We start from the raw sequence: 20572 nt of genomic DNA on the forward strand, positions 1-20572 counted from the left end.
GCTACTGTTTTGTTGTTTTTCTGCCTGTAAGATATATTTGCACTGTTAAAAATGCATTTTACCTCAGTCTGTGTGTGTAATCTTTAGGACTTAAAAACCACTTCAAATATTTTCACATCTCATAACTCCTAATAAATGTTATGTTTTCTAATTGATAATAACATTTCGCAAATATTCCAGAATATAAATACAATATTATTAAGTAATTTTTAAAACGTTTCTGTAAATCAGATAATCTTTCATTATCTCCGTTATTTACCAGTGTCTGCTCCTATTTGCTGCTTTTTTTTTTTTTTCCCTTTAATTTTTTGAGACAGGATTTCATTCTGTTGCCCAGGCTGGACTGCAGTGGCGCCATCAGGGGTCCCTGCAGCCTCAGCCTCCAGGGCTAAGGTGATCCTCCCACGTCAGCCTCCTGGGTAGCTGGTACTGCAGGCACATGCCACCACACCTGGCTAATTTTTTATTTTTTGTGGAAATGAGGTTTCACCATGTTACCCAGGCTGGTCTCGCACTCCTGGGCTCAAGTGATCTGCCCACCTCAGCCTACCAGATTGCTGTGATTACAGGCGTCAGCCTCTGTACCTGGCCTGTTCTGTTCTTTGGAGTATTGTATATTCATATGCAGAAAAGATAAATTTAGACCTTTTACCTGTTGTCTGACACAGAAATTAACAAAGTAGATCATAGACCTAAATGTAAGAACTAAATGATACAAGTTCTAGAATAAGGCATAGGAGAAAATCTCAGTGACCTTGGGTTAGACAAAGGTTTCTTAAATATGTCACCAAAATCACAATCCATAAAAGAAGTTGCCAATTTGAACATTAAAATTAGAGACTTTCGTGCTTCAAAAGACACTATTAAGAAAATGAAAAGGCATGTCACAGACTGGGAGAAAATATTTGCAAATAGTATATCTGAGAAAAGACTTGTATTCAGGATATATAAGGAACTCTTTATTTTTTATTATTATTATTTTGAGACACAGGGTCTCACTCTGTTGTCCAGGCTGGAGTACAATGGCACAGTCTCGGCTCACTGCAGACTCGGCCCCCTGGTTTCAAGTGATCCTACCACCTCAGCCTCCGGAGTAGCTTTTGTTGAGACGAGGTTTTGCCATGTTGCCCAGGCTGGTCTTGAACTCCTAGGCTCAAGCAATCCACTTACCTCAGCCTCCCAAAATGCTGGGATTACAGGCATGAGCCATCATGCCTGGCCAGGAATTCTTATAATTCAACAATGAGACCAAAAGCTCAGATTAAACATGGACAGAAGAATAGACATTTCACCAAAGTGGCTAATAAAATTAGGCTTGGCACGGTGGCTCACATCTATAATCCTAGCACTTTGGGAGTCCAAGGTAGGAAGATCACTTGAGCTCAGGAATTCGAGACCAGCCTGAGCAACATATGAGATCTCATTTGTATGAAAAATTTAAAAATTAGCTGGGCATGGTGGCAGGTACCTGTAGTCGCAGCTACTGGGGTGGCTAAGGTGGCAGGATTGCTTGAGCCCGGGAGGTCAAGGCTGCAGTGAGCTATTATCGTGCCATTGTACTCCAGCCTGGGCATTGGATCAAGACACTTTCTCAAACACAAACAGACAAAAACCAGAGTAACTAATAATCACATGAAAAAATGCTCAGCACCATTAGTTATTTTGTGTTTTTTTTAATTATTATTATGTTTTGAGACAAGGTCTGGCTCTGTTGCCCAGGCTGGAGTGCAGTGGTGCCATCTTGGCTCACTGCAACGTGCGTCTCCCAGGCTCAAGCTGTCTTCCTACCTCAGCCTCCCAAGTATCTGGGACTACAGGCATGTGCTACCATGCCCAGGTAATTTTTGTGTTTTTTGTAGAGACAGTTTTTCGCCATGTTGCCCAGGCTGGATTGAACTCCTTAGCTCGAGCAATCTGCCTGCCTCGGTCTCCCAAAGTGCTGGGATTATAGGCGTGAGCCACTGTATCCAGCCTACTTATTTTAGAAATGGTTATTAAAACCACAATGAGATACCACGTATAGCCACTGGAACAAGTTTAATGAAAAAGAAACAATAATAGGTACTGGTGAGGATGTGGAGAACCTGAAACCTTCATTTCCCTATTGGGAATGTAAAATTGTAGAGCCACTTAGGGAAACAATTTGGCAGTTCCTTAAAAAGTTAAACAAATTTACCATAGAACCTAGAAATTACATTCCTAAGTATTTACCTAAGAGAAATGAAAGCACATGTTTGTAGGAAGACTTATACATGAATGTTCATAGCTACTTTATTTGTAATATGCAAAAACTGAGCAAAACCCAAATGTCCATCAGTGGATGAATGGATAAAGTATGTTATATCCATATGATTGGATACTACTCAGCAATAAAAAAAGTATGAATATTGATACAACAAATGAATATATTTCAACATAAATACGCTGAGTGAAAGGAGCCAAAAGTGTATGCAATGTGTGACTCCACTTAACATAAAACTTTACAAAATCCAAACCAATTCATAATGACAGAGAGCAGATCAGTTGTTGCAGGGGTATTGGAGTTGGTATAGGGGATGATGACTGACTGAAATAGGACTTGCGAGCTCTTTTGGGGTTATTGGAAATGTTCTTAAACTGGATTGTGGTGATGATTACACTCCATAAATTTACTAAAATTAGCAAAATGTACACTTAAAATCGGTGAATTTTTTTACACTCATTATGTGAAAATTCTTAATTACAGACATTATTTGTAAACTGTTGGGTGACATTTGTATTGACAGGTGATAGTAATGAAGAAGCCATTCAACAACAGGTTTGTAAAAAATACAGCAAGAAAAGAAATGGAGGGTTACTTTTTTAAAAACCATTTTAACTATTTTTAAGCTTATTGTTCAGTAGTGTTAGGTATATTCACATTGGGACCAGGTGCAGTGGCTCATACTTGTAACCCCAGCACTTTGGGGGACTGAGGTGGGAGGAGTATTACTTGAGCCTAGGAGTTCGAGACCAGCCTGGGCAGTGTACTAAGATCCTGTCTCTTTAAAAAACAAACAAACAAACAAAAATTAGCTGGGTGTGGTGGTGTGCACCTGTAGTCCCAGCTACTCAGGAGGCTGAGTTAGGAGGATCACTGGAGCCCAGGAGATTGACGGCATGAGCGTGATTGTGCCCCTACACTCTAGCCTGACCCTGTCTCACACACACACAAAAAAGTATATTTACATTTGTTGTGAAACAGATCTCCAGAACTTTTCCATCTTCCAAAACTGGAACTCTATAGCCATTATACAACTCCTCTTTCTCCTCGCTCTGACCCTGGTTACCACCACTCTTCTTTCTGTTTCTACAAATTTGACTACTTTAGATACTTCACATAACTGGAATCACAGTTTTTGTCTTTTTATGACTGGCTTATTTCACTTAGCGTAATGCCCTCAAGTTTTATTTTGTTTTATTTATAGTCCAGGTGTCTTTGATTTTTTTTTTTTTTTTTTTTTTTTGGCCACCTAGTATGCCATGAATTCACAGGTTATAGGTTCCAGCAGTTCAGGCTCCTGTCCATTGGTTCTCACAAAGTGTGCTTTTCTGGGTGGAGAATGCTGGTGCTTCAGTTGTACCTAGGTACCTTTCTCTTTGGCTTCCTTCTTTTTCTGATCTTTTTCCTTCATGTGTTTTGGGAAGCCATCTCAGCTGTAGTGCTTTATATGCTCATTATATACATTAATTCTTTTGGCAAGAATTTCGTTTGTTACAGCATTGCCAACAGCATGCTGGATAACATTGTAACTTCCAGTTTTGCCATGGTAATATTTGTGGGCATTCCTTTTTGAACAGTAGCCATTTTCTTTTTCTTTCTTTCTTTTTTTTTTTTTTTTTTTTGAGATGGGGTCTCGCTCCGTCACCCAGGCTGGAGTGCAATGGCGCGATCTCGGCTCACTGCAACCTTTGCCTCCCAGGTTCAAGTGATTCTCCTGCCTCCTGAGTAGCTGGGATTACAGGTGCGTGCCACCACACCCGGCTAATTTTTGTGTTTTTAGTAGAGATGGAGTTTTACCATGTTGGTCAGGCTGGTCCCAAACTCCTGACCTCATGATCCTCCTGCCTCAGACTCCCAAAGTGCTGGGATTACAGGCGTGAGCCACCACGCCCGGCCCACAGTAGCCATTTTCTTTTCTTTTTCTTTTTTTTTTTGTTTTGAGATGAAGTCTCATTCTGTTGCCCAGGCTGGAGTGCATTGGCGTGATCTCGGCTCACTGCAATCTCCGCCTCCTGAGTTCCAGCGATTTTCCTGCCTCAGCCTCCTGAGTAGCTGGGATTACAGGCTAGCACCACCATGCTCGACTAATTATTGTATGAGCAGTAGCCATTTTCTTGATGTCTACAACATCGCTTTTTCTTGTAGATTCCTGTGTCTGTGGCCAAAGGAACAACTCCATGTTTTCCAAAAGCCCTAGAGAACAAATTGGAGGTGCCTCTTCTTTTTTCCTTTGTGTTTGTCATCTTGGTGAATTATTGGAAGATGGTGGTTTCTGGCGAAAGGCCAGATTAAATGGTTGAATTTTAAAGTATGTAAATTATACCTCAAAAAAACTATTTTAAAAAGTAGACTTACCCTGACACTAGACTCTATATCAAAGGGGTTGAATAGTTTCAAAATGGACCGTAAAATACGTGTAATATTTAAGAGAAGTATCAAAAAATATTTTAACTGCATTATTGAGGTATGATTAGTATACTAAAAGCTGAAGGAAGGTAGTGTATATAACTTGATGTGTTTGGAAAGAGCTATAACACCTGTAAAACCATCATTACAATCAGTGCCATGGACTTAAATCCATCACCTCCAAAAATTTCTTCCTGTCTCCTTACTTTTGTTTCCTTTTTTGGTTAGAGCACTTAATGTGTTATACCCTTTTAGCAAAGTTTTAAACATACAATACGTTATTGCTAATCATAGACCCTATGTTGTGCAGTAAATTTCCAGTATGTATTTCTTTTGCATAACTGAAAATTAGAGGAGGTATCAAAAATTAATGGGGTAAAAAAGATTTTTCAATAAATGTTTTGGTGATAGCTAGTTAGCTGTGGAGAGACAGAGCAGGATTCTATTTATATAATCTTATCTAATGTCATAACAAAAATCAGTTCTAGATACAGTAATATAAAGAATATTAAAGACTTGGACCAACTCTAATTTAATACTTATCCATCTTCTAAATAAGGATGCACTTTCCAAGTTTAGAATGATTTAGAAAAGAACGGGCATTTAAAAATGACAAATTTTGCGCCTGGTGCGGTGGCTCACGCCTGTAATCCCAGCACTTTGGGAGGCTGAGGAGGGTGGATCATGAGGTCAGGAGATCGCGACCATCCTGGCTAACACAGTGAAACCCCGTCTCTACTAAAAATAAACAAAAAAAAATTAGCTGGGCCTGGTGGCAGGTGCCTGTAGTTCTAGCTACTCGGGAGGCTGAGGCAGGAGAACAGTGTGAACCCAGGAGGCGGAGCTTGCAGTGAGCAGAGATGGCGCCACTGCACTCCAGACTGGGCGATTGAGCGAGACTCTGTCTCAAAAAAAAAAAGGAAAAAAAAAAAAAGACAAATTTTGGCTGGGTGCAGTGGCTCACGCCTATAATCCCAGCACTTTGGGAGGCTGAGGGAGCCAGATCACTTAAGGTTAGAATTTCAAGACAAGCCTGGGCAACATGGTGAAACCCCATCTCTACTAAAAAATTAGCCTGGTGTGGTGGTGCATGCCTGTAGTCCCAGCTACTTGAGAGGCTGAGGCATGAGAATCACTTGAACCCAGGAGGCAGAGGAGGTTGCAGTAAGCCGAGATCATCCCACTGCACTCCAGCCTGGGCAACAGAGTGAGAAACTGTCTCAATAAATAAATAAATAAATAAATAAATAAATAAATGAATAAATAAACAAATGACAAATTTCATAACATAAAACTAAAAAGCTACAGTGTTTTTTTAAAAGAATATATCACCTAAATGAAAACAACCTTGGAAAAAACATAAAGCTATTGTAATTACTTTGAGCTATTAAAGGGTTAATATCTTATATAGTAGAATATCTTATACAAGATCTATAATATACTACAGATATTACAGGATAAATATCTATATAAGATCTTACAAATCATGTAGAAACCACTGAACATCTGTAATGAATACAACAAATCCATAGAAGAGGAAGTAAACATGCAAAGAAGTGTAGATTAAAACAGTGATTACCATTTTTACTGTGTGTGTTTTTTGTTCCTTGTGTATTTTTTTAAAAAACCTTTTTGACAGATAAGATTTTTATTTTTGCAATGAATTTCATGGTCTTCAAAGTCAAAATAAAAATTTCTGCCTAACGATTAGCTGACAGGAAGATGCCTTTAAATGTTTTTTCTTTTTGTTTCCAGGAAGTATTGATGAAGATGTTGTGGTGATAGAAGCTTCCTCCACTCCCCAGGTTACTGCCAATGAAGAAATTAATGTTACCTCAACTGACAGTGAAGTGGAGATTGTAACAGTTGGAGAAAGCTATCGGTGAGATTTTAATTCTTAGTTAAATGTTTGAAATATTAAATATAAATATTAAACATATTTGTGCTGCAGATATTTGCATTCTTTTTATTTATTTATTTTTGAGACCCAGTTTGAGTATGCATATATCAGATTAGTGGATTTTTTTTTTTTTTTTTTTTTTGGTAAGAGATAGAATATTGCTATGTTACCCAGGCTGGACTTCTACCCCTTGGCTCAAGTGATTCTCCTGTCTCATTCTCCATAGTAGCTAGGACTGTAGGCACATGTCACTAAGCCTGTCTAGATTTGTCCTTTTCAAAGCAGGCTGCATTAAACTCACCTGGAGAGATAATAAAATAAAGCTATATTGTTGCCCAGACTCTTTCCCATACTTGAACTAGAATTTTAGAGGTTAGTCTTTTTAAAAGCACCCCAAGTATACAATGAGAGTTAAGAGTTAATGCTCTGAATAAACAATAATTTTACTTAGTGTTTTATAAAATTGTGTTTTTTAATGATATGGAGAATTGATCTGCTTTGAAATTTAGATGTGAATAATACATAAATATTGGGGATGGTACCAAATTAAAAATGAAAAAATATTAAGGGGTATTGATGTTGAAATAGCCCTTTCTGTTAGAATCTACTTGTTTCAATATGTTACTCATTGATACCAGTGAAACTTGTGCTGTTACTGTGTTAGGGCACCCTAATTCAAAACATATGTTTTGATTCTTTTTCCTTCACTCAGTAATTTTATCGGTGCTCTGAACTAACACATTAATGAAACATCCTTATCTGTTTTTATAAATAACTGGAAAAGACATTGCCCTATTGCGGAATCACTTTGACTCTCCCTCCAAAATATCAACTCCTAACATTGCATTCATCTTATACTTTAGATGATTATAAGTATTGGTAATAATAGCAATAAAGAGTTGCTTTGTTACATTTGATACACCCAACTAATAATCTAACGGATGAATCTTAATTTTTGTGTTGGAACGAATTTAGAAGTGCATTTGCTTATTGCATGTTAATATGTTACTGATTTTAAAAGTATATATTCATATTTCTGACATCTGTTACAAACACTTAGAACATGCTTTTCCACTTGCCATTTTAGCATCGAAGTGCTACTTCTAAAGGCATGGAAGTGAGCATTCTATAACATATACTTGTTTGTTTTAATTTTATATTATTTTCCCCAACTCTGAGTAAAACTGAAAACCAGTGTTATGTACCACACCTATCCTCTGACCGTGCATAGTGCTTGGTACAACATTGACTCAATTTTTATGAGCTGTAAGGACTACTGAAATTACAGACCTATTTTTCCTTGTAGGACTAGAGATCTTGTTTTGGACATGGTTGATGTCAAGCAGATGCATTTACCTGAGTTAATAGGCAGTGATCTTGAAAAAGACCCACAGTGTACATGACCCATTGTTATATCTCTTATTGTTATTAAGAGATATTAATTTTGTTACTGTTTAGCTGGCTTTTTGCCCTTTAGTTTATTTTACTTAATTATTTATTTTTTGAGACAGAGTCTCCCTCTGTCACCCAGGCTGGAGGGCAGTGGCGCCATCTTGGCTCACCGCAGCCTCCATCTCCTGGGTTCAAGCAATCCTCCTCCCTCAGCCTTGTGAGTAGCTGGGATTACAGGCATGAGCCACCACACCTGGCTAATTTTTTTTGTATTTTTAGTAGAGACGGGGTTTCAGCATATTAGCCAGGCTGGTCTCGAACTCCTGACCTTGTGATCCACCCGCCTCGGCCTCCCAAAGTGCTAGGATTACAGGCGTGAGCCACCACGCCTGGCCTGGCCCTTTCATTTAAGAGAGTATTTCTTTGTTTTAGAGTCTTTTGTGTCAGGATTTGACAGTTGCTACTAATCATAGTGGCCACTAATACCTCCTTGAGACTTCCTCATACATTCATGTTTTTTTGCAGTTGCTCCATCTAGTACAATATGATGCTTTCACAAAAGTACTGCAAAGTGGACCTATAACTTCCTTCAGCTATTAACAGCTTCCCAGAGATAATAGACTACTCAGTCTCATCATAGACTCTTGATTTTTCAAGAATTTTAAATGGTGGTATCTTTCCTCATACAAAACCATTTTATCCCAAGACATGGCTATCTTGGCTCAAGCTATACCACAACTGTTTCTGATATGTACTATCCTATGTTGACAGTGGCTCGGTAATTAACTTTATACTCCTTCTTAAGAATTTTATTTTAGAATTTGAACTTTTTAAACTCTGGGTTCTATAATCGTTGAAGTTCAAGTTGGGCTGAAAATGTTGAGGCCATTTTCAGCCCACTTTGACCTTTGGAGTTCTCTTCTTAGTGGTTAAGCACCCACCCCCAATGACCTTTTATATTACAGATATTTTCTGTAAATGCTGACAATAAGGTTATAAGCAGTTTTATATTTAGTTTGAACAGGAGAAAGCCCTTGTGTTTTATTGGCCTCACCTTTCTAAAAGATTTATTTTTTTATCCTGGAGCCTTAGGACTGCATATTCTACATATTATCCCTGTATGTCCTTAGTCCAAATCATTATAGTGAGTCCTTCAAAGTATATACACCTGTAAGTAAATTTAGAACAGTGTAATGCCACACACATACTTAAATGAAGTTAGATGTTTAGGGTTCACAGTCACGTGTTTTAGAAGCATAAACTAGCTCACGCAAGTAATATTTCTTAGGGCTACCAAACTAGTAAACTAGCCACAATGTCCTTACCTCTACACATCAGGAAATCTCCCTGGTGCCTGTTTATTTTTTTTGTTTTGTTTTCTTTTATGGCAATACTAGAAGCTTAGCTTGGTTTAGGACTCCCAAAGGAATGTTTTGCAAATCTATCCTGAGCTAAACATACAAGACCTTGTGGATATTATTAAATGTGTAGGGTGTTATTTTTATTCCTTTACCTATGGTGAGTAATTTTAGCTATTAACAGAAAATGTAAATAGTTTATTATAACCTGGGTAAATTCTCAAAAGTAACCATGGAAGAGAGAGTAGCATTCTTGAAACAGAATCCTGTATTTTACACTAATGATTGGTACAACATAGTATTTCTTATATTCTTAGGTCAATTAGTTTACCGAGTGCCAGTCATGATTTTTAATTACGATTATTTCTTTGGAGAAATCTTGTATGAAAAACTTAACATTTAGTAAGAAAGGCTTATGGGTTTTTGTGGTGACTAAAAATTCTTTATTTATATTTACTAACTTAATATTGATGTCATTTAAGGTCTCGTTCAACCCTTGGACACTCCAGATCTCATTGGAGCCAGGGTTCCAGTTCTCATGCAAGTCGGCCACAGGAGCCACGGAACCGCAGTAGGATTTCTACTGTTATACAGCCCTTGAGGCAGAATGCAGCAGAAGTTGTGGACCTTACCGTTGATGAAGATGGTAAATTGAAGTAGTAACAGTAGAAAATTATGAAAGGAGTTTGATAAAAGGAAATCTCTTAATATGCTAGAAACTCCTCCTGCTTACTGGTAATATATTATTAAACTACAGGGAAATTGTCAGATTTTTTAATCTCGTTTTTAATTGATATCCTAGGCTTGTAAATTTACATAAAATTCTTTGTGGTTATTGTTTCAATACTTGATAGCTATTTTCTCAGGAAAAAATATTTTTGTAAGTGGTAGTTTGAGGTTAGCTCAAACTAGTTTAGTTTGATTTGTAATAATGATTGTCTTTAACTTGCCATGAAAAAGTAGAAGCAGTACTTTTTAAATATAAACACAAAAGCAGTATAACTGAATTTTGAATGACTAATACTGGCTGTTTGAAATGTCTAACTTTACTTTTAAAAATTATGTTATCCTTCAATATTATCGGTACCTTTTTGTGCTGCTCATTTTTTGTATTTTATTTTGGCTTACAGCTGTACCCAAGTAACTGAGGAAACAAAACCAGAGTTGGAATACAGAGGTTAGGAAAAGTGGTAGAATTTAGGAATATATGAATGAATACATATGTGAATTTGCCCACATATTGGGAATCATCTTGAGGTATTATTAGTTATATCTTAGGAAATGGTCACTCATAATTTCCCAAAAGGAAAATGGTAAGCCATATATGAGTTTGTTAGGTTTGGGAGTTAGCTATAAATTGGGCAAAGAATATATCAGGTAGATGGAAAGAGTTGATAGGTGGAAAGAGTTAGAGGCCATATACAATCAGCTCTTCTATGGGCTATTTGCAGTTTGGGTGGTCATAACTTTCAGAGTATCAGTACCCAGTTGTTTATGAAGAGATAACAACTGTTTGCATTTCATTCAACAATCTCTTGGTTTTTGTTTTGAAGCACTGTAAATGATCTGTAAGACAGTCGTTAATGTAATAGGGATTAATTAATGATTACTCAGTTAATTAAATATAGGGTGACTATTTTGGAAACTTTTTGTGTTCCGATGTGACACCTGCTAGCCAGTAAGTAGGAGAAGGTGATAGAGTAGCCTTTTCCACATTACAGTAAGTTCAACCAGAATTTACACTTTACTGGGTTAAAAGTATTCCAGTGATTAGTAGATGCTCCCTTTCCCCCCACTAGTTTTTCTCATTGGAAAGCTTCTCTCTTATTAAAAATGAATCTAAAACTAAGTACATCAGACCAGTGGTTCTCAACTAGGGGCAGTTTTCTCCCCCAAGTGATATTTGGCAATGTCTGCAGACATTTTTGGTTTTCACAGTTAGGGGAGGATGCTACTGACATCTAATGGATAGAGACCATGGTTGTTGCTAAACATCATGCTGTTCACAGTGCACATCTCCTCCCCAGCGAACAAAAAATTGTCTAGCCCAAAATGTTAGTATTGCCAAGGTTGAGAAACCCTGGTTAAACTATTTACAAATAAACAGAAGTTCTTTTCCCCCTTTTTTATGTACAAGCAATTTGCATATACAAGCATTTGGACATACTAGCATTCAAAGTGTCCCATATAGATTCACAGGTACTATTTGTGCCTAAGGAATTAGCTTACCTTACTGCATTGTATAGAAAGTCAACCCTCTCATTCCATAGCACATTAAGAGACCCCCCTTCTTTTCAGATTTAATTGTCGTGACTATGCTTTGGATGGATTTATTCCTACCGTTCTCAATTTTAAGCAACCATTTTAAAATTAGTTCTTTGAAACTTAACTCACTCATAAGTTGAAGTCTACCTGAAATTTCTTTTACTTTCTGATAGAAAAATGTTAATTTTTATTAGAAAGCACTGATGAGTATTAATATTTACAAAATTTTCTTTGGAAAACATATAAAAAGGCATGGAAAGGAGATTAAAACAGTTATTGGAAATCATAGCTAATGCTAAGTGATTACTCTCTGTAAGGCATCATACGAAGTATGTGATCTCAGTTCATCCTAATGACAGTTCTATGAAGAAAATTCTGATGCTTTCCCAGTTCTACAGATGAGGAAATGGAGAATGGTTAAATAACTTATTTATATTCATACTGTCAGTGGTGAAATCAGTATTGCTATCCAGGCAGTCTTACCCTAGAATCCATATTGTGTCAGACAGTGTGGTTTGTAACACTGTTCTGGCAGCTCGTGACCATGTGTACGTGCATAGTAAGGAACTTTTATTTCCTTTTACTGTTTTCTTCTTTGTGATAGATCAGACAACTTATTTAGAAGCTACCTGAAAAACTGTTAAATCACCTAAATTATTGGAATAAGCATATCGGTGTTGGATTTTTTTAAAATGCAGTAATATTTTGGTAACACGTCTGTTCGATATTGCAGTTTAGCTTTGTGAACGCTTTCTTTACCAAATGTTATTAGAGAGCTTGTATTTTTAAAGTTTTTTTATTTATTAATTATAAACACATTAGCTTACATTAAAATATAACCCTTTATCTAATTTGTTTTGAAATGCTAAGTTGACATTTTGTATTTTGTAGAACCTACTGTAGTACCAACCACTTCTGCAAGAATGGAATCACAAGCTACTAGCGCTTCCATTAACAATTCAAATCCATCTACCTCTGAGCAGGCCTCTGATACTGCTTCAGCTGTCACCAGTAGCCAACCTTCCACAGTGTCAGAGACTTCAGCTACTCTTACAAGCAATAGTACCACTGGCACTTCTATAGGAGGTATGTAAAAAAGTGGGGGAGGGGAGACTTTTTGTCATTACTTTCGTTAGGAAAAGTATTATTGTTTTTAAGTCTAAGATTTTAGCTATGTTAATAAGCGGGTATTCTTACATTATAATAAACTTCATATGTTATCAAGGTAGTCTTTATTATAATTAGGCTGATTTCATATTTGAGTTTGTGTGCTATATGTAACCAGAGTATTATAGCTCAAATAAGAGAGCTTGGGGAGAAGCAAATGGCTGACACCAAAAGCATGAGCAACAAAAGCAAAAGTAGATAAGTTGGACTTCATCAAAATTTAGAACTTTCGTGCATTAAAGGATATTATCAAGACAGTGAAAGACAGCCTACAGAATGGGGGGAAGAAAAATATTGCAAATCCTTTATCTGATAAGCACTTTAGAATCCAGAATCTACAAAGCACTCTTAAAACTGCCCAACAGGCCGGGTGTGATGGCTCATGCTTGTAATTCCAGTACTTTGAGGGGTTGAGGGTGGAGGATCACTTGAGACCAGGAGTTCAAGACCAGCCTGGGCAACATGGTGAAACCCTATCTCTATTTATATTTAAAAAATAAAAAAGTAAAAAGAAACAAACAAAAAGCCCCAACCCAACAGAAAGACAACCCAATTTTAAAATGAGAAAAGATTTGAATAGATATTTCTGAAGAAGTTATGCAAATGACCAAGAAGCACAAGATGCTCAACATCACTAATCATTAGGGAAATGCAAATGAAAACCACAATGAGATACCACTTTGCACCAACTAGGGTGTCTATAACACAAACAAAAATAGAAAATCACCAGCGTTGGCAAGGATGTAGAGAAATTGGAACCCTTGCGAATTGCTGGTAGGAATGCAAAATGGTGCAACTGCTGAGAAAAACACTTTGATGGTTCCTCAGAAAGTTAAAATAGAGTTACCATTGGATGCACTAAGTCTACTCCTTAGTTATCTTCCCAAAATAATTGAGAATGGGGATGGGAGTTTTTAAAATTTTGGTGATATCCATTTTCTGGGGTTTTTTGGTTATGGTTTGGTCTGTTGGTGTCATATCTAAGAAACCGTTGCCTAATCCAGGGTCACAAAAATTTATTCTGGAGCTTTCTTTAGTTTTAGCTCTTATCTCAAGCTAGTTCTTACGTTTCAATTAGCAGTGATATCTCTGGCTCTCTCTTATATCCTTTGTTTAACTGAGCCTTAAACTAACTTTCTTTCATTTTTGGATAATGGTACAGAGATAGGAACTTGCTAACTGCTTACCAATAGGGACACTGTAGACCCTGTAGCTTGTGGATTGACTAAATCACCATTAATAATGAAACCATCTTATATTTTCTATCCCTTTTTGCTTTTAATAATATCTCATTTAATTCTTTTAATATTCATGTAATTTACATCTAGCAGATTAGAAAACTACATGTGGCTGGATCAGGAAGTATTCTCTCCCCTGGAAAACTGAGGGCAGAATTGAGAAACATTCTCAAGGAGATTTCCCAGGAGTATCTTTTTTGTTTTTTTGGCCCAGGCCAGTCTTGAAGTTCCAGGCTCAGGTGATCCTCCTACCTCAGTCTCTCAAGTAGCTAGGACTACAGGTGTGAACCACTGTACCCAGGGGTGTCTTTTAAAAACATTCTCTGAAAAAATGTAGGCAGAAATGAAATGGGCTTTTATTTCATTTGTTGAGTACATACTCTTTTCTTAGCTTGTTACTTGGGTATCTTATATGTTATTGTATATATTTTAATTCTTAAAAAAAAAAAAATCCTTGACATGGTGAGACTCACACCTGTAATCCCAGCTCTTTGGGAGGCCAGGGACGCAGATCACTCGAGGCCAGGAGTTCAAGACCAGCCTAGGCAACGTGGTGAAACCTTGTCTCTTTTGAAGAAAAAAACAAAACAAAACAAAAAAACAGAAACTTGCAGAAATTAGTGAGGCTTGGTGACACACACCTTTAGTGCCAGCTACTCAGAGACTGAGTCAGGAGAATCATGTGATCCTGACAAGTTGAGGCTACAGTGATCCTCGAGGGCACCACTACACTCCAGCCCAGATGACAGAGTAAGACCCTGTTTTAAAAAATAAATTATTGATGTTGGCATTTCTCTTACCATTTCAGAAATGAAGAAACCTGAGAAGTTAAGTACCTTGACAAAACTGTAATAATTTTTGAGGCAGGGATTTGACTTCTCATTGACTCCTGTCTCCTGTTGTAGCTTTATGTAGCATTATTATTATTATTATTATTATTTTTTTTTTTGTGAGACAGGTCTGACTCTGTTGCCCAGGCCTGTGTGCAGTGGCACAATCTTGTCTCACTGCAATCTCCACCTCCCAGGCTCAAGTGATCCTCCCGAGTAGATGGGGGACCACAGGCATGACCACCACGTCCGGCTAATTTTTGTATTTTAGTAGAGATGGGGTTTTGCCATGTTGCCGTGTTGCCCACACTGGCCTCAGTCTCCTGGGCTCGAGCGATCCACCTGCCTCAGCCTCCAGAAGTGCTGGGATTACAGGTGTGAACTACCACCCTCGGCCTATGTGTAGCATTATTCTTACGTACATTTTATGTGATACAGTCCCAACTTTATTTCAGAATATTCCAAAAACTTTTATATATAAATCTTTGTTCATTCACAAATCAGATTTAATTTCTGAGCATCTTGGCTACAGTCCTAAATGGGCCTCTCTTAAGGTCAATTTCCTTCCAGGACCCTATGGAACATTAGTTCAACTATGTTCTCCACAACCCGTCCTTATCTTGTACCTTTTTGAATATTTCCAACCCTCACATTCAAGCCATCTAGCTTCACACTTATCCAAGTTCCTCCGTAAATTTATGGTTTCGAATCCTGGGCTTTCTGTAGGAAATCACCATTGTCTTGATCAGTTCCCTTTCGTTCCTCTAAGTGCCTATTTCAAAACACTCTCCTTTTCCTCAAGGTTTTCATTCCCCAGGGGAAATTTTAAAAAAATGAATAAATGAAAGTTCTTAAGCATGAACTCCTGCAACTTCCAATGCCTCCATATAAACTTTTGTGGCTCTCTACCTGTCCTCCTCTACTAATTCCTAGTCTCCTAACTCCTTCCTTTCCCTTCCAGTTCCTTTATCTGTGCTCTACCTCTTATCCTTTCCTTTGTCCTTAACCTTGCTTTAACTGTTATCTTCCTTGTGTCTTCGGCATCTTCTCTGGTTTCATTTCCTTAGTACATGCACATGTACACTTGTTTTTGTCTGTGTACATTTAAGTGTATTTTTGTCACACTAAACTCTTTCCTCTAATGGGCTTCTGACTCCTTTCATAATGAATAAACATGATCTTTTAAAATCTGACAATTGTCTCCTTTTCATAATTCATTTTCTTCCCAGGACTGTGTTCTCATCCCCCCTTTCACTAGCCCATTTCATAACTGTAAGTGTTGTCACCTATCACTAGTATGCTGATGACTCTCTCTTCTGTGTTTTTTGACCACTATATTTGTTTTAAACTTCTTTTTTTTTTTTTTTTTTTCCCCGAGACAGGGTCTTGCTTTGTCACGTAGGCTAGAGTGCAGGCTCACTGCAGCCTCCACTTCCAGGCTTAAGTGATCCTCCTGCATCAGCCCCACAAGTAGCTGGGACTACAGGCACACTCTACCACACCTGGCCAATTTATGTATTTTTTGTAGAGATAGGGTTTTGCCATGTTGCCCAGGCTGGTCTCGAACTCCTGGACTCAGGCAATTCACTTGCCTCAGCTTTCCAAAGTGTTGGGATTACAAGTGTGAGCCACCATGCCCGGCCATTTTAGACTTTCATATCCAATTGCTTCTTGGACATCTCTCCTGGACCGTTCTGCAGTCAGTTCAAACTCAATGTGCCACAAACAGCTCATTATCTGTCTGACCTCTCCATGTGGTCCTTGTGTTATGCCTACATGATATCTTATATATTCATTTGTTTAACACATATTTATTGATGGCACACTATATGTCAGGCACTGTTCTAGGCAGTGGGAACAAAACAGATAAATTTTTGTTCTAACAGAGCTTACCCTCTAGTGGATAGCAATAGCTAACATTTATTGAGCCTATAGTGTTGGCCGGTGGATTTGCCTATAATAACTCTGATTTTTACAGTAACCAGTAAGGCAGATTTTATTACTCTTCTCATTCTACAGGTGAAGTAACATATCCAAGGTTATATGATAGTGGAGCAAGAATTCAAACCTAGGCAGTCTGGCGTGGTACCTCTACTTTTCCCCTTTATGCCAAGATTTCTCAACCTTGGCACTACTATTGACTTTGGGCCAGATAGTTCTTACAGTGGGAGGTGGGGAAAGGCTGTGCTTACAGGATATTTAGCAGCATCCTTGGTTTGTAGCCTCTAAATTCCAGTAACATCACCTCCCTTCCAATTGTAACAACCAAAAATGTCTGCAGGCATTGCCAGATACTGGGGACAGCATTGCTTTATGCTATGCTAGAACCCAGTGTTTCTGTTCTAATACTGGTTGATTTGTATCCTAAATTGTCTCCATGCTTGATGATGAGCTTCCTTAAGGGCCAAAGAGCAAGTGTTTCTCTTCTTGGCGCTTAGCTACATGATTGCATGCTGCTTTTCCCTTGTGAGTTGAAATTAAATATAGAAAGTGCTTATTGAGCCACCTACATTGTGCAAGCATGTTTCTGGTTGCTAGAGATAAAAACAGCAAAAGCAGACCATACCGTAAGTTATGTTAAAGGCCAGGACTTTCATTTTCACCTTTGTATTATCCAGTGCCTTTTGTAGATCTTTTACCACGACTTTATTATGTGTAAGACTGTTGAATGAATGAGTAATTCATGCCTGCCTCTCGATAATCCTGCTAGAGTTACTGAAGGCACTCCTAGGAGGCACTTTAACCAAATTATTGTCCCTGGGTTGTGGAGTTAATTTCCCTAATGCAGGTTCATGATTGTCTCATTTTTAGTGGGCCCTCTATGGGTTAATTTTAATAGAAAAGGAAGTGTTTTATTTACTGAATCATATATCTCTGTATTTCACCTCTAATTTATGACAGTTTTATTTGGGTAGTAACTCTCGAATGAGAGGCTAATTGGTTGTCTTTAGTTTTGGATGCAAGCCTGTTTGAGAAACAAAGAGGTTCTGGACTATATATATTCAAAATGCTCGAAGGCAAAAGAGGACAAGCTGTTTCTGAACAGATACATGTCATATCCATCACTTTAGTGATGGTTACAAACTCATACCCTGACTTTTAGAGTCAACGTAATCCTCAAATAACTTGGTTTGTAAAATTAAAGTGTCAGAGTTGGAAGGAACCATGAAGGTAATTTAGCGTATCCCAGTGAGTGAGCTTAGTATCCCAAAGGTTTTCAACCTTTTTTTCCTGATGCAATACACAATAAATGATATTGACTTGTATAACACTTTTACATAGAGACTAAGATAAAACCCTGAAAATGCTGTAGCAAGTAAAGCTACTGTAATAATGAGTAATTACTATACATATTATAATTTATAGGAAACAGTTACTTAATGTTGGGTTCAGCATAGCCCTAAAAGACTTTTGATCATGGTCAGTTCCTGATATGCTAGTTTTAACACTTGACCAGGTTATTCAACACATTTGGAATACAAGTGAATGAAAGTAACATAATTATAGAACTGACTTTGGAACTGCTATTATTTGTTCTAAAAAGTAAATAATCTGGCCGGGCGTGGTGCCTCACGCCTGTAATCCCAGCACTTTGGGAGGTCGAGGTGGGTGGATCACGAGGTCAGGAGATCGAGACCATCCTGGCTAACATGGTGAAACCCCGTCTCTACTAAAAATACAAAAAAATTAGCCGGGCTTGGTGGCGGGCGCCTGTAGTCCCAGCTACTCGGGAGGCTGAGGCAGGAGAATGGCGTGAACCCGGGAGGCAGAGCTTGCAGTAAGTGGAGATTGCGCCACTGCACTCTAGCCTGGGCGACAGAGCAAGACTTTGTCGCAAAAAAAAAAAAAAAAAAGGAAATAATTTGTCGACTTTGTTTTTTTGTTACAAATTACAATATTTAACATAATTCTAGGGGCAGTTAGAGGTTAGTGTCAGTTTGTATTTTTCTTCCGTCCAAGTTCACAGACGCGTGAATTCTAGTTCCCAGGTTAAGAACCTTTACAAAAGGGTTTGGGAGATTAGCCCCCATAGGCCAGACTAGCAGCTTGGAAAAAACGAATATACAGAAATTTAGATTAGAGCTACTGTGTAACAGAGGTTAGAGCACAGACCTTGAAGAGATGAGAATCCGGAAAGGCAGGATAAGACATGTAAGAGAGGGCAGAGCCAGGAGAATTTTAGGGAAATTTGCTGAATCTTACCAAGCAGAGCCTGAAGCACCCCCCTACCCAGGTTCATTTATGTGAACCCATAATTCCCTTTATTATTTAAGCTGTTTTGGTTGGATTTTTATTTTATTTGTAAACAAGCAGAAGATTCCTAATTGATACATTGACCCAGAAGAGATTAGCTAGGTACTTTGAGCCCCATAGGAGCAGGGTATCCTTACTCTTGGGTACTGTAAAATCAAGGCTAGGACAGTAATGTTCCAGAATTCTAAGGATTCTGAGGAGATGCCTCAGAATCAGAGTAGGGGGTTAAGGATGGCAGCAGGGCGGGGCTTTGGCTTTAGGCTCTTCACTCTTGTAATTTAATCAGAAGCTTCAAGTTTTAAAAATCTCTTTTATATAGTTTCCATATAATATTTAGTTTGAGGAAGCGTTTCTAGGTTTTAAATGAATTTGAAACACTGGGACAGACTTTCAGAGGATACTTTTGCAGTTCTTCTGCCATAGAAGAACATACCTTCAAAATAACTGGGCATGTGGCGGAGAGCATAATCAGGACTCATGTGTTTTATACTGAGAAATTTATCTTTTCTAACAACCATGCAAGGCAATTTTATTACCACATTTTATAGATGAAAAGGAGGTTAAATAACTTCCCTAAGGTCACATTGCTGAAAGAAAGGTCCCAGATTAGAACCCAGATTCATTTGACTCCATGTTTCTTTTCCCACTGTGTGACACTAAGTCATTAGATTACTTTAAAGCACATTTTATTTTCCAAGTATTAGAGTCTAATCATTTCTTACATTCTATTGGTTCTGACTGTAGAGTCCAAAGGAAGGAAAAAAGATAATGGCCCAGACATGGTGGCTCACGCCTGTAATCCAAGTACTTTGGGATGCTGAGGTGGGCGGATCACCTGAGCTCTGGAAGGAGCTTAAGACCAGCCTGGGCAATGTGGCAAAATCTTGTCTCTACAAAAAATACAAAAATTAGCCAGGCGTGGTGGTGTGTGCCTATGGTCCCAGCTACTTAGGAGGCTGAGGCAGGAGAATCTGTTGAGCAAATATATACAATGTATATATTTGTGTTGGTGGATAGTGAGACTTCACCAGATACACTCTGACTTGGCTGGCTGTGTCTTAAGGTGAGATTTTAAGAAGTACATAGCTGCCTGCATTATGTAGGAAGGATTTATGATATTAGGGGTTCATGGAGCTCAGGGGAAGAGCATTTGCTTTGTAGCATGTAGTGGAAGGACTCGTATTTTTAAACTTTTAAAATACAGTTTTACTGGTAATAAATCATTTACTGTGCCATAGGAAAACATGATCTATTGCCATACTTACACATCACAGTAAATATGAGCCTCCTGAAGAATTTAGAGTTTCAGGAAAATCCCAGTGAAGACCACTGCATAAAATCATATGATGTATATGTTAAGAATATGGCACTATCAGCCGGGGTGTGGTGGCTCACGCCTGTAATCCCAGCACTTTGGGAGGCTGAGGCGGGCAGATCACCTGAGGTTGGGAGTTCAAGACCAGCCTGACCAACATGGAGAAACCCCATCTGTACTAAAAATACAAAATAAGCTGGGCGTG

The 20572-nt window shown here is 38.1% G+C and overlaps 1 protein-coding gene and 1 pseudogene across 30 annotated transcripts in view; one reads left to right on the top strand and one right to left on the bottom strand.

Moving 5' to 3' along the window:
• RNF111 (ring finger protein 111) overlaps window positions 1-20572 on the top strand; it is a 109757-nt gene that overhangs the window by 58239 nt on the left and 30946 nt on the right. For all 30 annotated transcript variants that reach the window (XM_047432702.1, XM_047432708.1, XM_047432713.1 and 27 more), the window contains 3 exons: window positions 6404-6530; window positions 9781-9944; window positions 12455-12649. In XM_047432702.1, coding sequence (XP_047288658.1) covers window positions 6404-6530; window positions 9781-9944; window positions 12455-12649 — 486 coding nt within the window. The remainder of the gene's footprint in view (window positions 1-6403; window positions 6531-9780; window positions 9945-12454; window positions 12650-20572) is intronic.
• Window positions 3498-3832, bottom strand: RPL21P113 (ribosomal protein L21 pseudogene 113; annotated as a pseudogene).

This window comes from Homo sapiens, chromosome 15 (genome assembly GCF_000001405.40).
Source record: "Homo sapiens chromosome 15, GRCh38.p14 Primary Assembly".
NCBI classification, from domain to species: domain Eukaryota; kingdom Metazoa; phylum Chordata; class Mammalia; order Primates; family Hominidae; genus Homo; species Homo sapiens.